The sequence below is a fragment of the Homo sapiens genome, chromosome 18, assembly GCF_000001405.40.
Source record: "Homo sapiens chromosome 18, GRCh38.p14 Primary Assembly".
NCBI lineage: Eukaryota > Metazoa > Chordata > Mammalia > Primates > Hominidae > Homo > Homo sapiens.
The window spans coordinates 12,882,356-12,900,989 of NC_000018.10; the positions used below are offsets into that span (position 1 = coordinate 12,882,356).

Here is an 18,634-nt window from a genome sequence, read left to right on the forward strand (position 1 = left end):
AATGCATGTGAAATCTCCAGTGGATGCGAGTTAAGTTCATTTTTCTGGAAAGAGGAATCACAATTCTCATTGAATTTTCAAGGATATTAATGATACCAAAGAAAATTAAATTTCTTAAACCAAAATGTTAAGCTGAATTAAGTTATATTCACTTTTCTCTTTTCAAATCTATTTCGATATATAACCTATCCCTTAGAGAGACAGCAGCCTCTGCTAAAACAAATGTAACTGGAGAAGATGCAGCTGGCAGGCTCTCTCACATGAAGATTCCTACCAGAATTTGCGTTTCAGATTGTCTATAATTGGAAGAGTCCTTACCAGCATTCTTTAAAACTTAGATCCCTATTCTAACATACTCTGTATCATGGGAATCAGAATATTTATACTTCCCACTAATGTGTTCAAGAAGAAAACGTTACTTTCTGAACACATTTTTCACTGCCATCTAATTAAATGGAAAGGGGAAAAACCCAGGATCATCCATTTACAGGAAAGCCCGTCTTTTACTTTACACAGAGAGAACCAAACATCAGAAGCAGCATTAACTTAACCGTCACCAAATTCAATCTTGGGAATAATACGACAAGGATTAAACGAAGGGGAAAGCAGTTACATCATTTTAAAAGAGATAAAGTTTTGTTTGAATTAAAAGGTAGTCTAGTTGACATAAAAAAAGCGAATCACAGGTGTTTATACTACATATTGCATCTATGTGAGCTGAACAGGCACGATTAGGGCGATAGGCATCGGAACACCGTGCCCCCGGGGAGGGGATGAGGGCACTTTCTCAGGGCAAGGAAAGGCTATTTTGATTTGAGGGGGCTTGCAAGAGGGGATTCATTTGTGACACCCGTCTGGGAGCACACATGAAAGCTGCGTTTCACTGTAGGGAAAGTATACCTCAGTAAGGAAAACTATAAAGAGAATGACACGCTATCACTGGACGAACACAAGCAAAGCCTCTTTCGTTCCGGGAAGGTTCTATGGGGGCCGAACCCACGCTGGGCGCTGCTGGGCCACGGGGGAAAATGAAGACGGAGGGTCCCGAGAGCGCTGCCCTCGCCAGAGGCCACGAGCCACCCCCAACCACCGCGGCTCCGCCAGGAGAGCGAGCTTCGCCTCGCAGAGGGCTGCGGCGGCCGGCCCGGCGCCCAGAGCGGCCTGCTCCCACAGGTCCTGCGCGGGCGCCAGCTGGACCCGGACGCCGCGGCCCGGCTCGCCCGCCCCCGCCCTCACCGCTCCCGGGGACGCCAGCTGCCCACCCGGCCACAAAACACCCGGCCAGAGAAAGAGCTGTCCGCGAGCAAGAACCAAGCACAGCGGCGTGGGAGCTACGGCGAAGCTGCGGCCCGGGGGCGCGCGCCCGAGCGCCCCCACGGCTTTCCCAAGGACCCCCAGACCCGGGCCGCGCAACGCTGGTGGCGCATCCACGCGCTCCCCAAGAAGCCGCTGTGGCACCGCCCTCCAGAACTAACTGCGCTTGCGCTAACCATGAGCTGCTCAGCTCAAGTATGCTTTTTTTTTTTTTTTTTTTAAACCAAAAGGAGCAAGAGAGCGGTCAGCGCAGGCGCGCCCCTGACGCGGACCGCGCCGCCACTTCCGCCCCGAGCGAGAGGCTAGAGGCGAGAGGCGGGGGAGGCGGGAGGGACCCTGCGGACAGGGCACGAGTCCGGGTCTCGGAGGAGGTCGGCGACTGCCGCGTGGGTCCGCGACTCACCAAGTACAGCGGCTGCCAGCGACGCTGAGTATCCAACTCTTCGAACTCCCGCTCGATGGTGGTGGGCATGGCTGCGGGAGCGAGCTGGCGCGAGCAGAGCCTGCGCCGGCGGAGAGGCTCAGGCCCCGCACGATCCGGGGAGAGCGCTGGCGCTGCGGCGCATGCGCGCTGCGCGCCGCGCCCCGCCCCCACGCCAAGCCCTGTCGGCCGTGGGGAAAGTACCTGGAGCGTCGGACGTCAGCGCGCAGACTCGGCGCCCGAGCGCGGCGCGAAGTCGGCGGCGGGGCGGGGCGGGGCGCTCGGGGGGCGGGGCTCGGGGTGCCCAGGTGGGAGGGGGCGGGGCCAGGGGACCACCCGGCGGCCGTGGTCCCTGCGCGCGGCACGAGGTGAGCCGCCCCTTGGGCTTGCGTCTTCCGACAAGAGAGAGGCGGTGGTCCGTGGGTAGCGCGGGGTTACTGGAATGGGACTCCCTGAGGAAGTCCCCTGAGAAGTCGCCGGCACGCTCCGCCTTCCTTCTTGCTTCCCATTTCTCGTTTTCTTCTCAGCCTTCATAGTTTTTTAAAGTGCTGTATTTGAATATTATTTTAAACATCATCTAGGTCAGATTAGCGGCCTGTGACCAACTTGGAAACAAATTCCTCATTCTTTTCTGCCCTGGTGTCAGCTCCTGTAAGCCTGCAGATTTTATGCCAAATAAACCGCTGGAGCAAAAGGAAAGGCAGCCAGCCTCTCCCGGAATTTGGGAGAGGGATACCTTGTTAAGAAAACGTTCTACAACTTACGAATTAGATTTAACTGTAAAAAATAGCACGTCCTCTTTTACCAAACAAACGTACTAGTTAGGGAAATCATCTTGCTTCAGATTTAAGATAGTTCTTTTTTAGTGCTTGTAATATCCTGCTATATAATCTTCATAAGAAACGTGAAGGGTTAGGAAAGGTTTAGCCGTGCTGTCCAGTATTGGGATTTAAATTTTAAATATTAACTTAATTCCTCAGTGGCACCAGCCACATTTCAGGTGTGCCATAACCATGTATGGCTAGTGGCTGCTATGTGGCAAAGTACATATGTAGAACGTTTCTATCATCGAAGACAGTTCTTTTGGACAGAGCCGGCCGAGAGGATTACAATACTTGGGGCAGAAAAGTGTCCTTAATCACATAAAATAATGAAAACCCTAGCCAGAAAAAAAAAAAAAAAAGTTGGCTACGGAAGCTAGAAGAAATCGTATTAACAAAAAAGCAGTCAGCAAGCTTTCTACTTACATAGTATGATTTAGAGATACAGGAAAGCTTCCCCCGAAAGACCCCACAATGTCTAATGGTCCTTGGTTCTGAAATTCTGTCATTGAATCTGATTATTTTGATTAAAGGCATGGTATCTCCCAGAATATCCTGTGAATGTTCGCATTAGTCTGCTCATCAGATTGCTTTCCAACCAAAAAATACTGTGTTCTACAAAGGAGGAGCATCTTTATCTCAAAGCAGCAGTTCTTATCGCCAAGTATTCAGCATCTCTTTGGAATTCATTTGTCAGCCTCTCTGGTTCCGGGAGCTGTATTTGCCTATCTTAGTTTGCTGAGTGCAGCGAAGAATCTAGAACAGTGGTTCTCACACCAGCATCATTTGCATCCAGTGTGAGCTTCTTTGAAATGCAAATTTGAAGGCCTCACCCCAAACTACTGAATCAGAATCTCTGGTGTTGGGGCCCCAGGAGACTACTTAAGCAAGCTCTCCTGGGGATGCCTGTGCCCCCCCAGAGTTTGAGAATGATTGCTCCAGAAGAATACCTATACAGGGCTGCACTGAAGCCCGGGGGTAAAAAGAAAACAGAGGTTAACTTGCTTCGAGATATCCTGCTGACAAGATATGACTTGGTCTCTCCGACATATGTGACTCCCAACCCAACTAGTTCCTAGCTTGCTGTTTCTAAAGGACCCCAAATGTAGACTTTTGCCCCTTTTGAAGTCAAGATCAGAAGTTCTCAGGATTTTAAAATGTCAGGCTTCCCTATTGCCCCCAAATTGTTCAAAGTCCTTTGATAGTAGGCATACTTTTATGTGCATACTGTTTATATATTTGAGGAAATATATAATGAACAAAGTCTATTAATTTAAAAAATTACAAATTCATTTAAAAGAATTATGAAATTAAGTAGCAAAGTGTATTTTTAAATAATAGTACATATATGTATGAGATACTCATTTTACAGATAATGCTTGGTGGATTACATATTTGGATTCATAGCAATGTCTTCAACTTACTCCTTGGCCCCTTCAATCCCTGTTTGGGAACCACTGCTCTAGACCAAAGGAAATGAAGCATAGCGAGAGTTTGGAGTCCCTTCTTTCACTGGAACAAGGCCTGCCTTCTGCACTTTAGTATACTGTTTAAGAGGCTCTCTCCCCTCAATGTATAATTTATACCCCTTTCAGAGAAAACTCTACTTACTACCCATAGCCCCTCCTGTGGTTTGAATAATGGTGTCCCCTCCAAAATTCACGTTGAAACTTTATCCTCATGGTGGCAGTATTAAGAGGTTGGCATTTGGGGAAGTGATTAAGTTATGAGGGTTCTGCTCTCATGAATTTGATTAGTGCCTCATAAAAGGACTGGAGGGAATTAGCTTGGGCCGTTTTTGCCCTTCTGTCCTGCCATGTGAAGGCCCCTAGGTGGCACCATGAGGAATGGGCCTTCAGCAGACACCAAACCTGCTGGTGCCTTGACCTTGGACTTCTCAGCCTTCAGAACTGTGAGAAATAAATTTCTGTTATTTGCAAATGACACAGTTGCAGCTATTTCATTATAGCAGCACAAACAGACTACCCTTATAGCTAGAACTTCAGAGGCACAAGCATATCAAAATACAGCCTAAAAGCCTGGTGTCTACAAGAGCTGTACATTTATAGAGCTGGGCAGACATTTGTTATACAAATTCAGATTGTACAGATTACAGTGAGAATGAACTTCAGTTAAATATATGTAGTTTTTAATAAACTTTTAATTGAAATATACACAAAAATGCACACAAATCACAAGTGCATAGCTCAGGGAGTTTTTACAGAGTGAACATAGCTGTCTATCAATACTCAGGCCAAGAACAGGAAATTTATCTCTCCTCCAGAAAGCCCCTGGAGCGCCATCCTAAATCCTCCCCCTTGAGTAACCAGCCCCAAGCCCTCTAACACCGTAGATTAGTTTTGCCTTTTTTGAACTTTGTTTAATTATATAATATGTGCTTTTTAATGTCTGACTGCTTTTGCTCAAGTTAGTGAGAGTCATCCACGTTGTAGGAATAGTTTGTTCATTCTTGCTGCTAAATAGCATATGATTGTTTGAGTCTACTACCATTTATTTGTTCTGAATTTGGTTGTTTCCAGTTTGGCCTTCTCATGAAGAGAACCATTAAGGACATGTTTGTCCTTGTCTTTTGGTAGACATACACTCATTTCTTGTGGGCATATGTCTAGGAGTGGGATTGCTGGATTGCAGTGTATCTATATGTTCATCATACACTGCTGAACAGTTTTCTGAGTGATTGCACCCGCACTTGAGCTTGGACACAGGATAAGGATGGCCACTATCATCACTTCTGTTCTATACTGTATAGTTATAGCAACAAGTGAGGAAAATTAAGAAGTGGTATAATGATTGGAAAGGATGAAACAAAGTTGATATTATAGCCAATATATTGTACACATAGAAAATCCAAAGTAATCTACAGGTCAACTATTAGATTAATAAGTGAATTTAGGCTAGGTGCAGTGGCTCACACCTGTAATCCGAGCACTTTGGGAAGTCAAAGTGGGAGGATCACTTGAGGCCAGTAGTTGGAGACCAGCCTGGGTAACATAGTGAGACTCCATCTCTAAAAATAAAAAAATTAGAAAAAAAAATTGAATTTAGAGATGTCTTTGAAAACAAAGTCAATATAAGAAAAAGCAGTTGTATTTTTTTTTTTTTTTTTGATGGAGTCACTCTGTCGCCCAGGCTGGAGTGCAGCGGTGCAATCTCAGCTCATTGCAACCTCTGCCTCCTGGGTTCACGCCATTCTCCCGCCTCAGCCTCCCAAGTAGTTGGGAATACAGGTGCCCGCCACCACGCCTGGCTAATTTTTTAGTAGAGATGGGGTTTCACCGTGTTAGCCAGTATAGTCTTGATCTCCTGACCTCGTGATCCGCCCACCTTGGCCTCCCAAAGTGCTGGGATTACAGGTGTGAGCCACTGCGCCCGGCAGAAAAAGCAGTTGTATTTCTACATAGCAACAGCAACTAGAAAATTTTTAAACATTGGAATATAAACTATTCCGAAAAATTCTTAACAAAAGATTAGCAAAACCTCTAGTCTGAAAACCACAACATATCACTCAGAGGAATGAAAGAAGAGCTAAATAAATGGAAGGATATACGATGTAATGTCTTGGAAACTTTAGTATTGTAAAGTTGCCAGTGCTTCTCAAAGTCATGTATGAATTCAGTGCAATCTCAATCAAAATCTCACCATATTTTTGTAGTGGAAATTGACAAGCTGATGCTACCATTTACAAATAAAAATGCAAGGGGCCAAGAATAGCCAAAATAATCTTAAGGAAGAAGAAAATGGAAGTTTTACCTCACCAGATAATAAGATTTACTCTAAAGCTACGATAATTAAAACAGCGTGTTCTTAGTGTGAAGATAGACAAATAGAAGAATGGAACAGAATAGAGTCTAAAGAAGAACTCAAGGGCCAAAAGTAGCCAAGAAGAACAGATCTGGAAGACATTATCCCTCCAGATATCAAGATCTCTTATAAAGATATGTGGTATCGACGCAAGGAAAGGCAAGCTGACCAAGGCAAGCTGACCAGTGGAACTAAACAAAGTCCAGAAACAGGTTCACACATATAGTCATCCGGTGTGTATCTTTGTGTGTGTGTATTTCACAAAGGCTTAAAGTAATGTGTCTTCAATAAATGGTGCTACATCCAAAAGAGCATAACTATATGTTTCCATTTTATATGAAGTTCAAAAATAGACAACAGAATAGTGATTACCTCTGGAGGCAGCTGGGGGCTGCCTCTGGTAGGGTGGGGGTGTTGCCTGGGAAGAAGCATGAGAGAATCTTCAGGGGTCCTGGAAATATTCCATATCTTGATTTGGTTGGTGGTACACTGTTGTGTATAATATACACGTATTTGTACATGTGTGTATAAAATGTCATTGAGCTCCACATTTAAGATTTTTTGGACTTTATTATATGTATGCTAACCTCAATAAAACTAAAAAATTCCTCACTCGAGTGAAAACTTTTTTAATTTAAATAAAAATAAACGGTATTTCATTTAGAAATGGAAACCAGGCACATTATCTTACACAGTATTTCATAAACTACCATCACCTAGTGAATATAGCAAAAGACTGTATATGGCTTCAAAGCCACATAATGCACCTAAATTCTCTAAAATTGCCAGCAATTACAAAGTGATAGATATGAGCCACATAGGATCAAGATGGGGATTCACTCATTCCATATTTTGGAGCCACAAAGTATATCTGCTGCCTAGGTTTGGACCAAATGCAATTAATGTATCAAACAAAAAATCCTAATATTTATTCAGCTTCATCCACAGCCTCCAAAAATGGTTTTAGTAAAAGACCAAATAAATTACGGTTTTTAAAAAAACTTTCGGGGCTGGGCGCGGTGGCTCACGCCTGTAATCCCAGCACTTTGGGAGGCCGAGACGGGCGGATCACGAGGTCAGGAGATCGAGACCATCCTGGCTAACACGGTGAAACCCCGTCTCTACTAAAAATACAAAAAATTAGCCGGGCGTGGTGGTGGGCGCCTGTAGTCCCAGCTACTGGGGAGGCTGAGGCAGGAGAATGGCGTGAACCCAGGAGGCGGAGCTCGCAGTGAGCCGAGATGGCGCCACTGCACTCCAGCCTGGGCGAAAGAGCGAGACTCCGTCTCAAAAAAAAAAAAAAAAAAAAAAATTTCAGGCTCTGTGTGGTGGCTCACACCTATAATTGCAGCACTCTGTGGGACCAAGGTGAGTGAGTCAGCCTGGCCGACATGATGAAACCTAGTCTCTACTAAAAATATAAAAATAAGCTGGGCGTAGTCACGCGTGCCTATAATCCCAGTGACTCAGGAGACTGAGGCAGGAGAATCGCTCAAACCTGAGAGGCAGAGGTTGCCGTGAGCCAAGATTGCGCCACTGCACTCCAGCCTGGGCAACACAGTAAGATTCCGTCTCAAAAAAAAAGCTGGGTGTGGTGGCACATGCCTGTAATCTCAGCTACTCAGGAGGCTAGGCAAGACAATTGCTTGAGCCTGGGAGGCAGAGGTTGCAGTGAACCAAGACGGCGCCTGTTGCACTCCACCCTGGGTGACAGAGTGAGACTCTGTCTCAAAAAAAAAAAAAACTTCCAAAAATAACTACCTAACCCAACTACACAGAATATGTGGTAGGCCTTCCAATGAACTATCATAGTCCCTAAATATGTCAGTTATCAATTTATTGACATTAAGCTCAAGGCTTCCTTTTTCACCTTCTCTATGAGAATGGATCTGGGCCCTTTAAATATTTTTCCTTTGCCAGCTGACACAGTGTTAAGCTTTGTCAGTAGGGGGAGTGGAGAGACACTTAAGGAGAAAGGGCTTGCTGGGAACCGCACAGGGGAACTGTGCTTGCTGGGCTGACTCCAGTGACCAGCAGCCTCCCCCAGCACCTTGCTCCTGGGGGTGCGTCTGTAGCAGAGTACCTCCCGTGAGACATCTCCCCGTGAGCAACTTTCCCATACACCCAGAGGGCAATAGAGTAGATTGAATGGGGGCCTCTCAAAAATGTGTCTGCCTGGAACCTGTGAATGTGACCTTCTATGAAAAAAGGGTATTTGCAGATTGAGCTACAAATCCTAAGATCAGATCATCTTGGATTATCAGGGTGAGCCCTAAATCCAATGACAACTGTCCTTCTAGGAGAAGGGCAGGGAGAGATTTGAGACAGGAAAGGGCCATATGAAGATGGAGGCAGAGGTTAGTCACTCAGCTACGGGGAACACCTGGAGCACCCAGAAGCTGGAAGAGGCAATGAAGGCTCCTCCCTGAACCCTTCCAAGGGAGCAGAGCCCTGCAGACACCTTGGTTTTGGACTTCTGGCCTCTAGAACTAAGTGAGGATAAATGGTGTTGTCTTAAGCCACCAAGTCCATGGTCATTTGATATGGCAGCCAGCTGTACAAGGTTTCCAGCTAGTTCCACAAATGCACCCCCACAGGGAGGGCTCTCCATGCAGCGGGCTAGAGGCACGCCTTCTCTAAGAAGATCTGGGACTCCTTAGAGTTTCATCCCTCAGCTTCTCAATGAAAAAAAATCCTTAAGCTTCTCAATGAAAAAACTTTTGAATGGAAGTACCTTAAAATTAAGGATTTCTGTTCATCAAATGACAGCATTAAGGAAAAGGGTGAACTGCAGAGTAGACGTTTTGCAGTGAATACTTCCCCAAAAGACTCAGGCCCAAAATAAAGAACGCCTACAAGTCAGTATGAGAAAGATAGCTTAATAGGAAAACGGGCAAGAGATTTTTGAGTAGGCATTTTGTGAAGAGGATATCCAAATGGCCAGTAAGCATATGAACCTTACCCTCATTAGTCACTAGAGAATGCCAGTTACTCCTATAATGAGATAATACCTCACCCCACCAGAGTGGCAGGAACTGGAAGCAGCTATAGGTCTTACACCTGCGGGGTGAATGAATGTTGACTGGGGGAGTGAGGAGTGTAACCGGGCCCTTTGAGATTTCAGCACCCCGCATTTTTAGTGGCTGAAACCATGAACATTCTGATCAGGCCCTTGCCTGCTTGCACATGTTAACTGCCCGCTTTCTGCCAATATCCCTTGCTCCCTCAATATAATGATAAACTGCTGATGTGCTGTTTCTTCACCAAGAGGAGAAGATAACTTCAAGGTCACAAAACATTTTTGCAGAGGGAATGGATGCTGTTAAGGATGTCATGACCGGCTGTTGATGCCCAGAAGTCTGGTTGTTCAAGGCACTATCTGAGACTGAAGAAACACAGACTTTCCCATCGGTTCCCTGAAACTCCCCCTCCCTTTTGTCTAGCTGCACAAAAACTCCCTGCTTCACCTTTTTGTTAAGACAGATTTGAGAGATCTTGCCCTCCTGCCCTCTTGCCTTGGTCAAATTGAATAAACCTTTCTCTATCTCCAAGCACCAGTGTCTCAGTGTTTGGCCCCAGCTGCTCATGGGGTACACAGGTCTGAGTTTGGGGTTCTACAATAGAAGTACAGTCCTAGCAAATCAAGCTGCATTGAACCATTCCAGAGGACAAAGGGTGGCATAAAAATCTGTTGGAAGAGAAGTTACCAGAGAGTGACAGATATATACTTTACCACGTTGTTAAGATAAATATCACAATTTTGCCTTGATTAGTCTTGGAAGAAAGAATAAATAATGGATAAAGGAAGATGAAAACTAGGTGACTTTGATCAGTATTCTAAAAATGATTCATGTGTCTTTTGTTGTTGTTTTAGAGACAGGATCTCATTCTGTCTCCCAGGCTGGGGTACAATGGTGCGATCATAGCTTACTGCAGACTCCAACTCTTGGGCTCAAGAGAGCCTCCCATCTCAGCCTCCAGAGCTGGGACTACAGGCATGTACCACGCCCGGCTAATTTTTAAATTTCTTTTGTAGAGATGGAGTCTCACTATGTTGCCCAGGCCAGTCTCAAATTCCTGGCTTCAAGTGATCCTCCTGCCTTGGCCTCCCAAAGCATTGGGATTACAGGTATGCGCCACCATGCCAGTCCCTAAAATGATTAGTTCTTGAGTACTTTGTTAGAACCATATTCCTTTGTATGTGTTAGATGGTTCTCAAGTCTCCTTAATTCTTGAAATCTAGAGCTTTTTATTTATTTTGATAATTTTGAGTCTGCATCCATCAGTGTCCCAGAGGATGTACAGTTGTGAAACCGTTGGCACACTAAGAAAGGTAATTAAAGAGAGTTTAAGGACAGAATGATTTACAGAGTTGTGGACAAGATTAGAAGAAATCTAAACACTCAGGGCTAAACACTCAGGGTTAACAACTGTGTGGAAATTCTACCAATCCATGGGTCTGAAGGTGCAGGGGACAGGAGCAGTTACCAAAACCCAGAGAGAGGGCAGGAGAGGGCTATCAGATGGGCAATGTGGCTTTCTGTGAAGGAGCACAGCCACAGCAGGCCCATGGCTTTGGCAGGAACACACACTGTATTCCTTTCCTACTGCTGCTGTGACAAATGACCCCAAGGAGTCCAGGGGCCCTGGCTCATATTCAACTAGTATGAGGGCTCATAGAAGTGAAACAGTGTTGAAGCAATTAAAGCTTCTCCAGCTCAGCTTATCACATCTGAATTCAAGACCTTGTCTATAGGCCAGGCGTGGTGGCTCACGCCTGTAGTCCCGGCACTTTGGGAGGCCGAGGCGAGTGGATAACCTGAGGTCAGGAGTTCGAGACCAGCCTGGCTAACATAATGAAATCCCATCCTACTAAAAATACAAAAATTAGCCGGGCTTGGTGGTACGCCCCTGTAATCCCAGCTACCCGGGAGGTTGAGGCAGGAGAATCGCTTGAACCTGGGAGGCGGAGGTCGCAGTGAGCCGAGATTGTGCCACTGTACTTCAGCCTGGGCAACAAGAGCGAAACTCCATCTCAAAAAAAAACACAAAAAAACCTTGTCTATAAAACTGTCTTCTTTCCCTGTTTTCCCTATCACAGCTAATGGCATCACTTATTCAACCAAGCTACAAACCTGGAAGTCATCTTCAACATCTCTCTATCCTTTATCTTCTGTGTCTAATGGGTCGCTGGTTTCTGTTGCTTCTTGCCTCCCAAGAAATCTCTCAAATCAATGCTCTGCTCTCTGTCTCCCCCTGCTGCTGCCTTAATAAAGATTTCATCCTCTTCCTGTCTCCTGCTCTATCCTGATGCTCGACCTTGGGTACCACCATTGGGTACCAGTATGGTGCCTGATTATAGTAGATGAAAAGTCAATGTGGCCGGGCACGGTGGCTCACGCCTGTAATCCCAGCACTTTGGGAGGCCGAGGTGGGCGGATCCCGAGGTCAGGAGATTGAGACCATCCTGGCTAACGTAGTGAAATCCCGCCTCTACTAAAAATACAAAAAATTAGCTGGGCGTGGTGGTGGGCACCTGTATTCCCAGCTACTCGGGAGGCTGAGGCAGGAGAATGGCGTGAACCCAGGAGGCGGAGCTTGCAGTGAGCCGAGATCGCGCCACTGCACTCCAGCCTGGGTGACAGAGCAAGGCTCCGTCTCAAAAAAAAAGAAAAGAAAAGAAAAGTCAATGTGATTGCAAGAATAACAGTGAATCTTTGTTGGACGTTCTATTGTTTCCAAATTTCCTATTACATAAAAATGTTGTAATATCTTTTTCAGACATAACTCGTCCCTTTTTTTTTTTTTTTTTTTTGATGGAGTTTCGCTCTTGTTGCCCAGGCTGGAGTGCAATGGTGCGATCTCGGCTCACCACAACCCTAGTCTCCCAGGTTCAAACGATTCTCCTGCTTCTGTCTCCTGAGTAGCTGGGGTTACAGGCATGCGCCACCACATCCGGCTAACTTTGTATTTTTAGTAGAGACGGGGTTTCTCCATGTTGGTCAGGCTGGTCTCGAACTCCCGACCTCAGGTGATCCGCCCGCCTCATCCTCTGAAAGTGCTGGGATTACAGGCGTGAGCCACCGCGCCCGGCCCACCTCTCTTCTTTTGAAGGACTTTTCCTTTGGATAAATACCCAGAAGTGTAATTATTGGTCCAAAAGTTTATTAGTTATCTCCATTTGGATTTGTCTAGAAGCAAACCCTGAGATGGAGATTTGAGTCCATTTGAGATTTGAGATGGAGTCTTACATGGGAGGTGATGCCGGGAAACACTAGTAAGGGAGAAGGGAAGGGAAACAGGGAAAAGAAGAAAGCGTGTTTATTAACAACCAGTTAGCACTGTGGGCAACAAGAGGACTTCCAGCCTGCTGGGAAACTCTGGGGGGTGGGGGGCAGTAAAGAACATACTGTCAAAGTTTCCAGACCAAAGGGCAAGGAAACTCAGTTTTAACCACTAACTCCCCACCTGTCATGGTTTGAAGACTGTTTCTAGAGCTACTTAGCTCTCTGCCACTCCTACTTTGCCCTGTATGTAAGCTGAGCTTGTTTCCATGGCCAGAAAAAAAAAATTAAAGCAGAAAATAGCCTCTGGATGTAGAAGTACATGCTGAAGGTATGTGGGAAAGGTGCTTAAAGCACCTGCTGCTATTTTTTTTTTTTTTTTTTTTGAGACAGGGTCTTGCTCTGTCACCTCTGCGGAGTGCAGTGGTACAATCTCAGCTCACTGAAACCTCTACCTCTTAGGCTCAAGCAATCCTCCCACCTCAGCCCCCTGAGTAGCTGGAACCACAGGCGTGTGCCACCATGCCCAGTTAATTTTTGTATTTTTTGTAGAGAGGGGATCTTGCCGTGTTGCCCAGGCTGTTCTTGAACTCCTGGACTCAAGTCATCCACCTGCCTTGACCTCCCACAGTGCTGGGATTACAGGTGTGAGCCACTGTGCCCAGCCAGATATTTTTATAGCTTTTGAAATCCACTGTTAAATTGCTGTATGAAAGAATAGAATCAATGTAATGCTATAGGCAGCGATTTAGAACTATATGTTTGCCCACATCCCTATGAACCCTCCCAACTTGGCCTCCTGGAGTGCTGGAATTAAAGGCATGAGCCACCGTGCTTGGCCTGGTTCCTTTTTATCCACAACTACTTCCCACTTCTTACTATTTTATGCTTATGTGCATATCAGGCTGCTTCTGAAATGAAATACTATTATGTTAATAAAAAACACAAAAGAATTGATATTGTTGCAAAAACATACTTTCTCCCAGGTGAAACAGAGTCCAGACAGTTTTAATTAACATTTCTTTGACTAGAAAAATTTACATGAAGTATATTGTATATTCTTGTTATGAGGAGACACATTCAAATCCCTGAATCTTAATTAGTTCATAGCCATATGAATGATCATCTCTGAGCACCTTTCACTTTCCGCTCTGGGGCTTCTCTGATGCTGTGACTTGCAACACCTAAACGAACACACAATTCACTGAAACATTCTTAACTCAGATGTGCAGAGGAGTTAGCACCAGTGGCACCACTCTTTTTTTTTTTTTTTTCTGTGCACATCCACCTTTAATAGCTTCTTCCGTCACTCTTTAGATCCAATTACTAAAGTCTTATTGAATCCAAAATAGATCACATCATTTACCTGTAAAGAGGAAAAATACCCTAAAAACATTTGTGGAAAAGGTTAAAAATTGTAAGCCATACTAACGATTTGTAAGAACTTTAGAATTTTTTTTTTTTTAAGCAAAGGCAGCTACCAAAGTGTTCTGGGCGGGGTGGGGGGGGGGGCGAGGGAGGTGAGTATGAGTGGAGTTGGACCCTTATAAAGGGACAGCGACAAACACCTCATACTCAAAACAAGGGGACTTCCCCTGTCATTTGCGCCGTCGGGCCACTGCAAATGTCCGTGCTGAGATGCCTACGTTGTCACTCGACACAGCCGCCAAAGCTCACCCGGAGCTGCGTCAGTCCCCACTGGGTTCCTCCAGGCCAAGGAGGTACGACCTCCGCCGCAGCATATAAAGTAAATGTCCAGGACATGGGAAGAAACCCGCCGATACAGCACCCGGGTGCCCAAGCCCCCGAGAACTAGGCCGCGCGGGTACTACGGGGCCAGAAAGCCCGGGCCAGGGCGGGCCCACGAGCGAGCACCGTCGGGAACAAACCGGGAGAAAGAGGAAGAGCCGGCGCCAAAGGTATCCCGCCCACCGCGGTCCCCCCAGAACTCTTCCTGCGCTTGCAAGCGCCACGCTGCCCACAGGACTGCGCCAGCCGGCCGGCGCCTCAACAGAGCGCGCCAGGGAGCAGCGCCCGTCGGGAGCCAAGACGCCTGAGCCATCGAGGCCGCCGCCGGGCCAGGTCGAGGCCGCCGCCGCCGCCGCCGCCGCCGCCGCCGCGGCACCACTCTTAACCGATGTTGATTTCCCCTTTCACACCCCAGGAAGGCAATTATTTGATTTTTTTTTGTTTTGCTTTTGTTTTGTTTTGTTTTGAAACAAGGTCTTGCTCTGTTGCCCAGGCTGGAGGGCAATGGTGTGATCATGGCTCACTGCAGCCTTGACCTCCCGGGCTCAAGTGATCCTCCCACCTCAGCCTCCTGAGTTGCTGGGACTAGGTGCATGCCAACATGTCCAGCTAATTAAAAAAAAGTTTTTTTGTAGAGATAAGGTCTCACTATATTGCCCAGGCTGGTCTTGAACTCCTGAACTCAAGGGATCTTCCTGCCTCAGCCTCCCAAAGTGCTGGGATTATAAATGTGAGCCACTGCACCGAGCCTCCAGGTGGCCGATTCTCGGATGCATTTCTCATGGCTCCTTAGAAAGTCCCAGTGGGGGCCGGGCGTGGTGACTCATGCCTGTAATCCCAGCACTTTGGGAGGTCAAGGCGGGTGGATCACCTAAGATCAGGACTTTGAGGCCAGCTTGACCAACATGGTGAAACCCCATCTCTACTAAAAATACAAAAATTAGCTGGGTGTGGTGTCAGGCACCTGTAATCCCAGCTACTTAGGAGGCTGAGGCAGAAGAATCTCTTGAACCCAGGAGGCGAAGGTTGCAGTGAGCCAAGATCGTGCCATTGCACTCCAGCCTGGGTGACAGAGTGAGTCTCTGTCTTAAAAAGAAAAAGAGAGAGAGAGACAGACAGACAGAGAGAGAGAGAGAGAGACAGAGAGAGAGAGAGAGAGAGAGAGAAAGAAAGAGAGAAAGAAAGAAAGAAAAGAAAGAAAGAAAGAAAGAAAGGAAGAAAGAAAAAGTAAGTCAGTCTCAGTGTGAACAAGCGTCATTTGTGTCTGGTGATGGACGTGACAAGGCTTTCTTATGTTTGCTTTTCCTCCTCACCTGTTCATCCTCCTTCCCTGCACTGCTGCTCTCTAGAAGCGCTTTCCCAAATAAAGTCCTTGCAACAAGCCTTGGTCTCAGGGTCTGCTTTCAGGGAACTCAGGCTAAGGTAATTAGTCACAGACATGGGCCTAGGAAGCAGATTCTCAGGATGGGATTTTGGAGCTGGAAAACACAGAGCTAAGAAACACGAGGCTGGAGTGAGTGGCATCTGGTAACATCACGATTGCTAAGGATCTCACCCTGGTGGCTTGGGATGAGGTGCAGGTGGAAGGTAAAGCACTGGGCATGTGGCAGCTCTGACACCTAAGTGGTATTGGGGCGAGGGGAACTATAACGATTTTGGAGGTTCCTGGTCTTTGTTAAATGCTCTGGACGTCTTGAAAAAAAAGTCAAACAGGTTTCCACCTGCAACTGTCAGCTTGAGGCAGGTTGTGGAAGCAAAGCGGCTCCATAACTGCATTCATGGAGACGCTCATTTTATTCGTAGAATGTGTGGATGAAAATCAGGCACAGCACTGTGTTATTAGGAAAACAGAGATGCAAAGGAGCATGAATGCATAGCCATAAATGGTCTCGTCCTCAAATCATTGACTTGAGAAATACCTGGGTGGACTTGGACCAGCCTGAGAACCTTGCAACCCCAGGTTTTTTTGGCTCCCCCAGGCCAGCAGATGTGCGCCCCCATTCTTACTAGATTCACAGAAGCCCTCACATGAGAAAGTGTCTCAAAGGGCAAGGAAACTCAGTTTTAGCCACTAACTCCCCAAAAGCAACCCCTGCCACCACTTGTTACCTCCATACTAAGAAGCAGGGTCTGATCCCAACACAGCTTAGGTAAACAGTCCAAACTCCAGGCAGAAATCTTATATATCCTAAGAATTGTAAGACCTGTCTAATGTGGACCAACAGGAAGGAGAGGAAAATGGGCAATTATAAAGCTTAAGATGTTGGGCCAAGGAAGATGCAAATATAAGGATGGGTAGAGAAGGATTTATTGATATAGGAATATACCCCTTGGTTTGGGAGTCCTAGTCAGGGCATCTGAATCCACTTCTCATCCACTGCTCGGATAGTTTCCTGAAGCTTGGGCAGGAAGATGACCTACAATGAATGAGGTGAGGATGCTTTAATTTCCTTGGCAGAATACTAGACGAGCTCAGGGAAATTAGACATTAGAATAGGCTTAGTATGTGGTATCAGAGAACCCACTTCCCGGCTGTGTTCTTTGGGAAGACTCAGAGGAGACTCCCTTCATAAAGCACAAAGACCCACTGGTGAGGGAGGCATGACCATCTTTGAGAAGCTTGGTAGGAATTGTCCTTTGTAGGCCAGAGCCGGCCAGTGGAAGATCCTGCCAATGGATGCCAGGTATCAATGGGCATGACGGGATTCTGAAATCGCAGAGAGGAGGCAGCAGCAGAAGGGGAATGAAGTTAGTATCATGGGCAGCAAGGCCAGCATGGCAGTTACGCTGCTGTGACCTGCTAGGATCTGTGGGCTCTGTTCCAGGGGCTGAGACGGGTGAACAACAATTAGGTTGTGACTTGACTTGGACAATTTGAAAAAAAAAAAAAAGAAGTGCTGGGAAGCTGAAGTTTGAAATTAGCCACTGCAATGGAAAATCACAATCCTTCATTCAATTTCCAAAGCTAAGTCAGTTCACAGATCTAATGCACATTGATTGAAGGGAAGCCTGCCAGTTCTCTGTAATGAAAGACTCTGCACCACCACTAAAAATACAGATGATAACTATTACCCTAGTCCTTCACCAATGGAACCTACAGCCACCTAGCAGCCCAATGGTGCCAAGGAAATGGATAGAAAATCTGAGTTGAAACTTCAGATACCACGGGACCTGAAATCCTGTTATGTTCCTCCAGTTACACTCAGAGCTTTTGAAGGGCAGATGATACATGGAGTTCTGACCCAAGTATACCCTGCAGTGGGTCCACTGGGTCCAGGAACATGGCCTGTGGTTATTTTCTCAGCTCCCACATGTATAATTAGGATAGATATATACCTAGTAGTTGGCAGAAACCTTACAATGATTTCTAGACATCTAGACATAGGGGGGAAGACACAGGAGAGAAGTCCCTGAAAAATCAGAAGCAATACTAGAAGGAATTGCAGAGAGTAGCACCACCATAAGCAACTTCAAGGATGGAGGGTGGCAGTCCCCTTCAATTTACCCAAGTGGCCCTTACAAAAATTACACAGATCATGGCAGATAAGGGTGGACTACTGTAAACCTAACTAAATGGAGCCCTGCTGGGCGCGGTGGCTCACACCTGTAATCCCAGCACTTTGGGAGGTTGAGGCGGGCGGATCACCTGAGGTCAGGAGTTCGAGACCAGCCTGGCCATCATGGTGAAACCCCGTCTCTACTAAAAATACAAAAATTAGCCAGCTGTGGTGGTGCACGCCTGTAGTCCCAGCTACTCAGAAGGCTGAGGCAGGAGAATTGCTTGAACCTGGGAGACAGAGGTTGCAGTGAGCAGAGATCGTGCCACTGCACTCCAGCCTGGGTGACAGATCGAGACTCTGTCTCAAAAATAAACAAATAAATGAATAAATAGGCTTGGCGCGGTAACTCATACCTGTAATTCTAGCACTTTGGGAGGCCGAGGTGGGTGCATCACGAGGTCAGGAGTTTGAGACCAGCCTGGCCAACATAGTGAAACCCTGGCTCTACTAAAAATACAAAAATTAGCCAGGCATGGTGGCGCACACCTGTAGTCCCAGCTATGCAGGAGGCTGAGGCAGGAGAATTGCTTGAACCCGGGAGGTGGAGGTTGCGGTGAGCCAGAATCAGGCCACTGCGATCCAGCCTGGGCAACAGAGCGAGACTCCATCTCAAAAAATAAAAATAAAAATAATAATAATAATAAATAAATAGAGCCCCAATCA

The 18,634-nt window shown here is 46.5% G+C and overlaps 1 protein-coding gene across 6 annotated transcripts in view, besides 3 other annotated features; it reads right to left on the bottom strand.

The window, feature by feature from the left end:
• PTPN2 (protein tyrosine phosphatase non-receptor type 2) overlaps window positions 1-1,882 on the bottom strand; it is a 98,760-nt gene extending 96,878 nt beyond the window's left edge. For all 6 annotated transcript variants that reach the window (XM_024451228.2, NM_080423.3, NM_080422.3 and 3 more), the window contains exon 1: window positions 1,718-1,882. In XM_024451228.2, coding sequence (XP_024306996.1) covers window positions 1,718-1,786 — 69 coding nt within the window. In that variant the 5' untranslated portion in view covers window positions 1,787-1,882. The remainder of the gene's footprint in view (window positions 1-1,717) is intronic.
• Window positions 1,085-1,424: a silencer, noted in NCBI's record as "silent region_9319". NCBI's record gives its function as "represses an Ori minimal core promoter by ATAC-STARR-seq in GM12878 lymphoblastoid cells {active_cell/tissue: GM12878}" and the evidence as "EXISTENCE:reporter gene assay evidence [ECO:0000049][PMID:35858748]".
• Window positions 1,805-2,094: a silencer, noted in NCBI's record as "silent region_9320". NCBI's record gives its function as "represses an Ori minimal core promoter by ATAC-STARR-seq in GM12878 lymphoblastoid cells {active_cell/tissue: GM12878}" and the evidence as "EXISTENCE:reporter gene assay evidence [ECO:0000049][PMID:35858748]".
• Window positions 3,454-3,503: a silencer, noted in NCBI's record as "silent region_9321". NCBI's record gives its function as "represses an Ori minimal core promoter by ATAC-STARR-seq in GM12878 lymphoblastoid cells {active_cell/tissue: GM12878}" and the evidence as "EXISTENCE:reporter gene assay evidence [ECO:0000049][PMID:35858748]".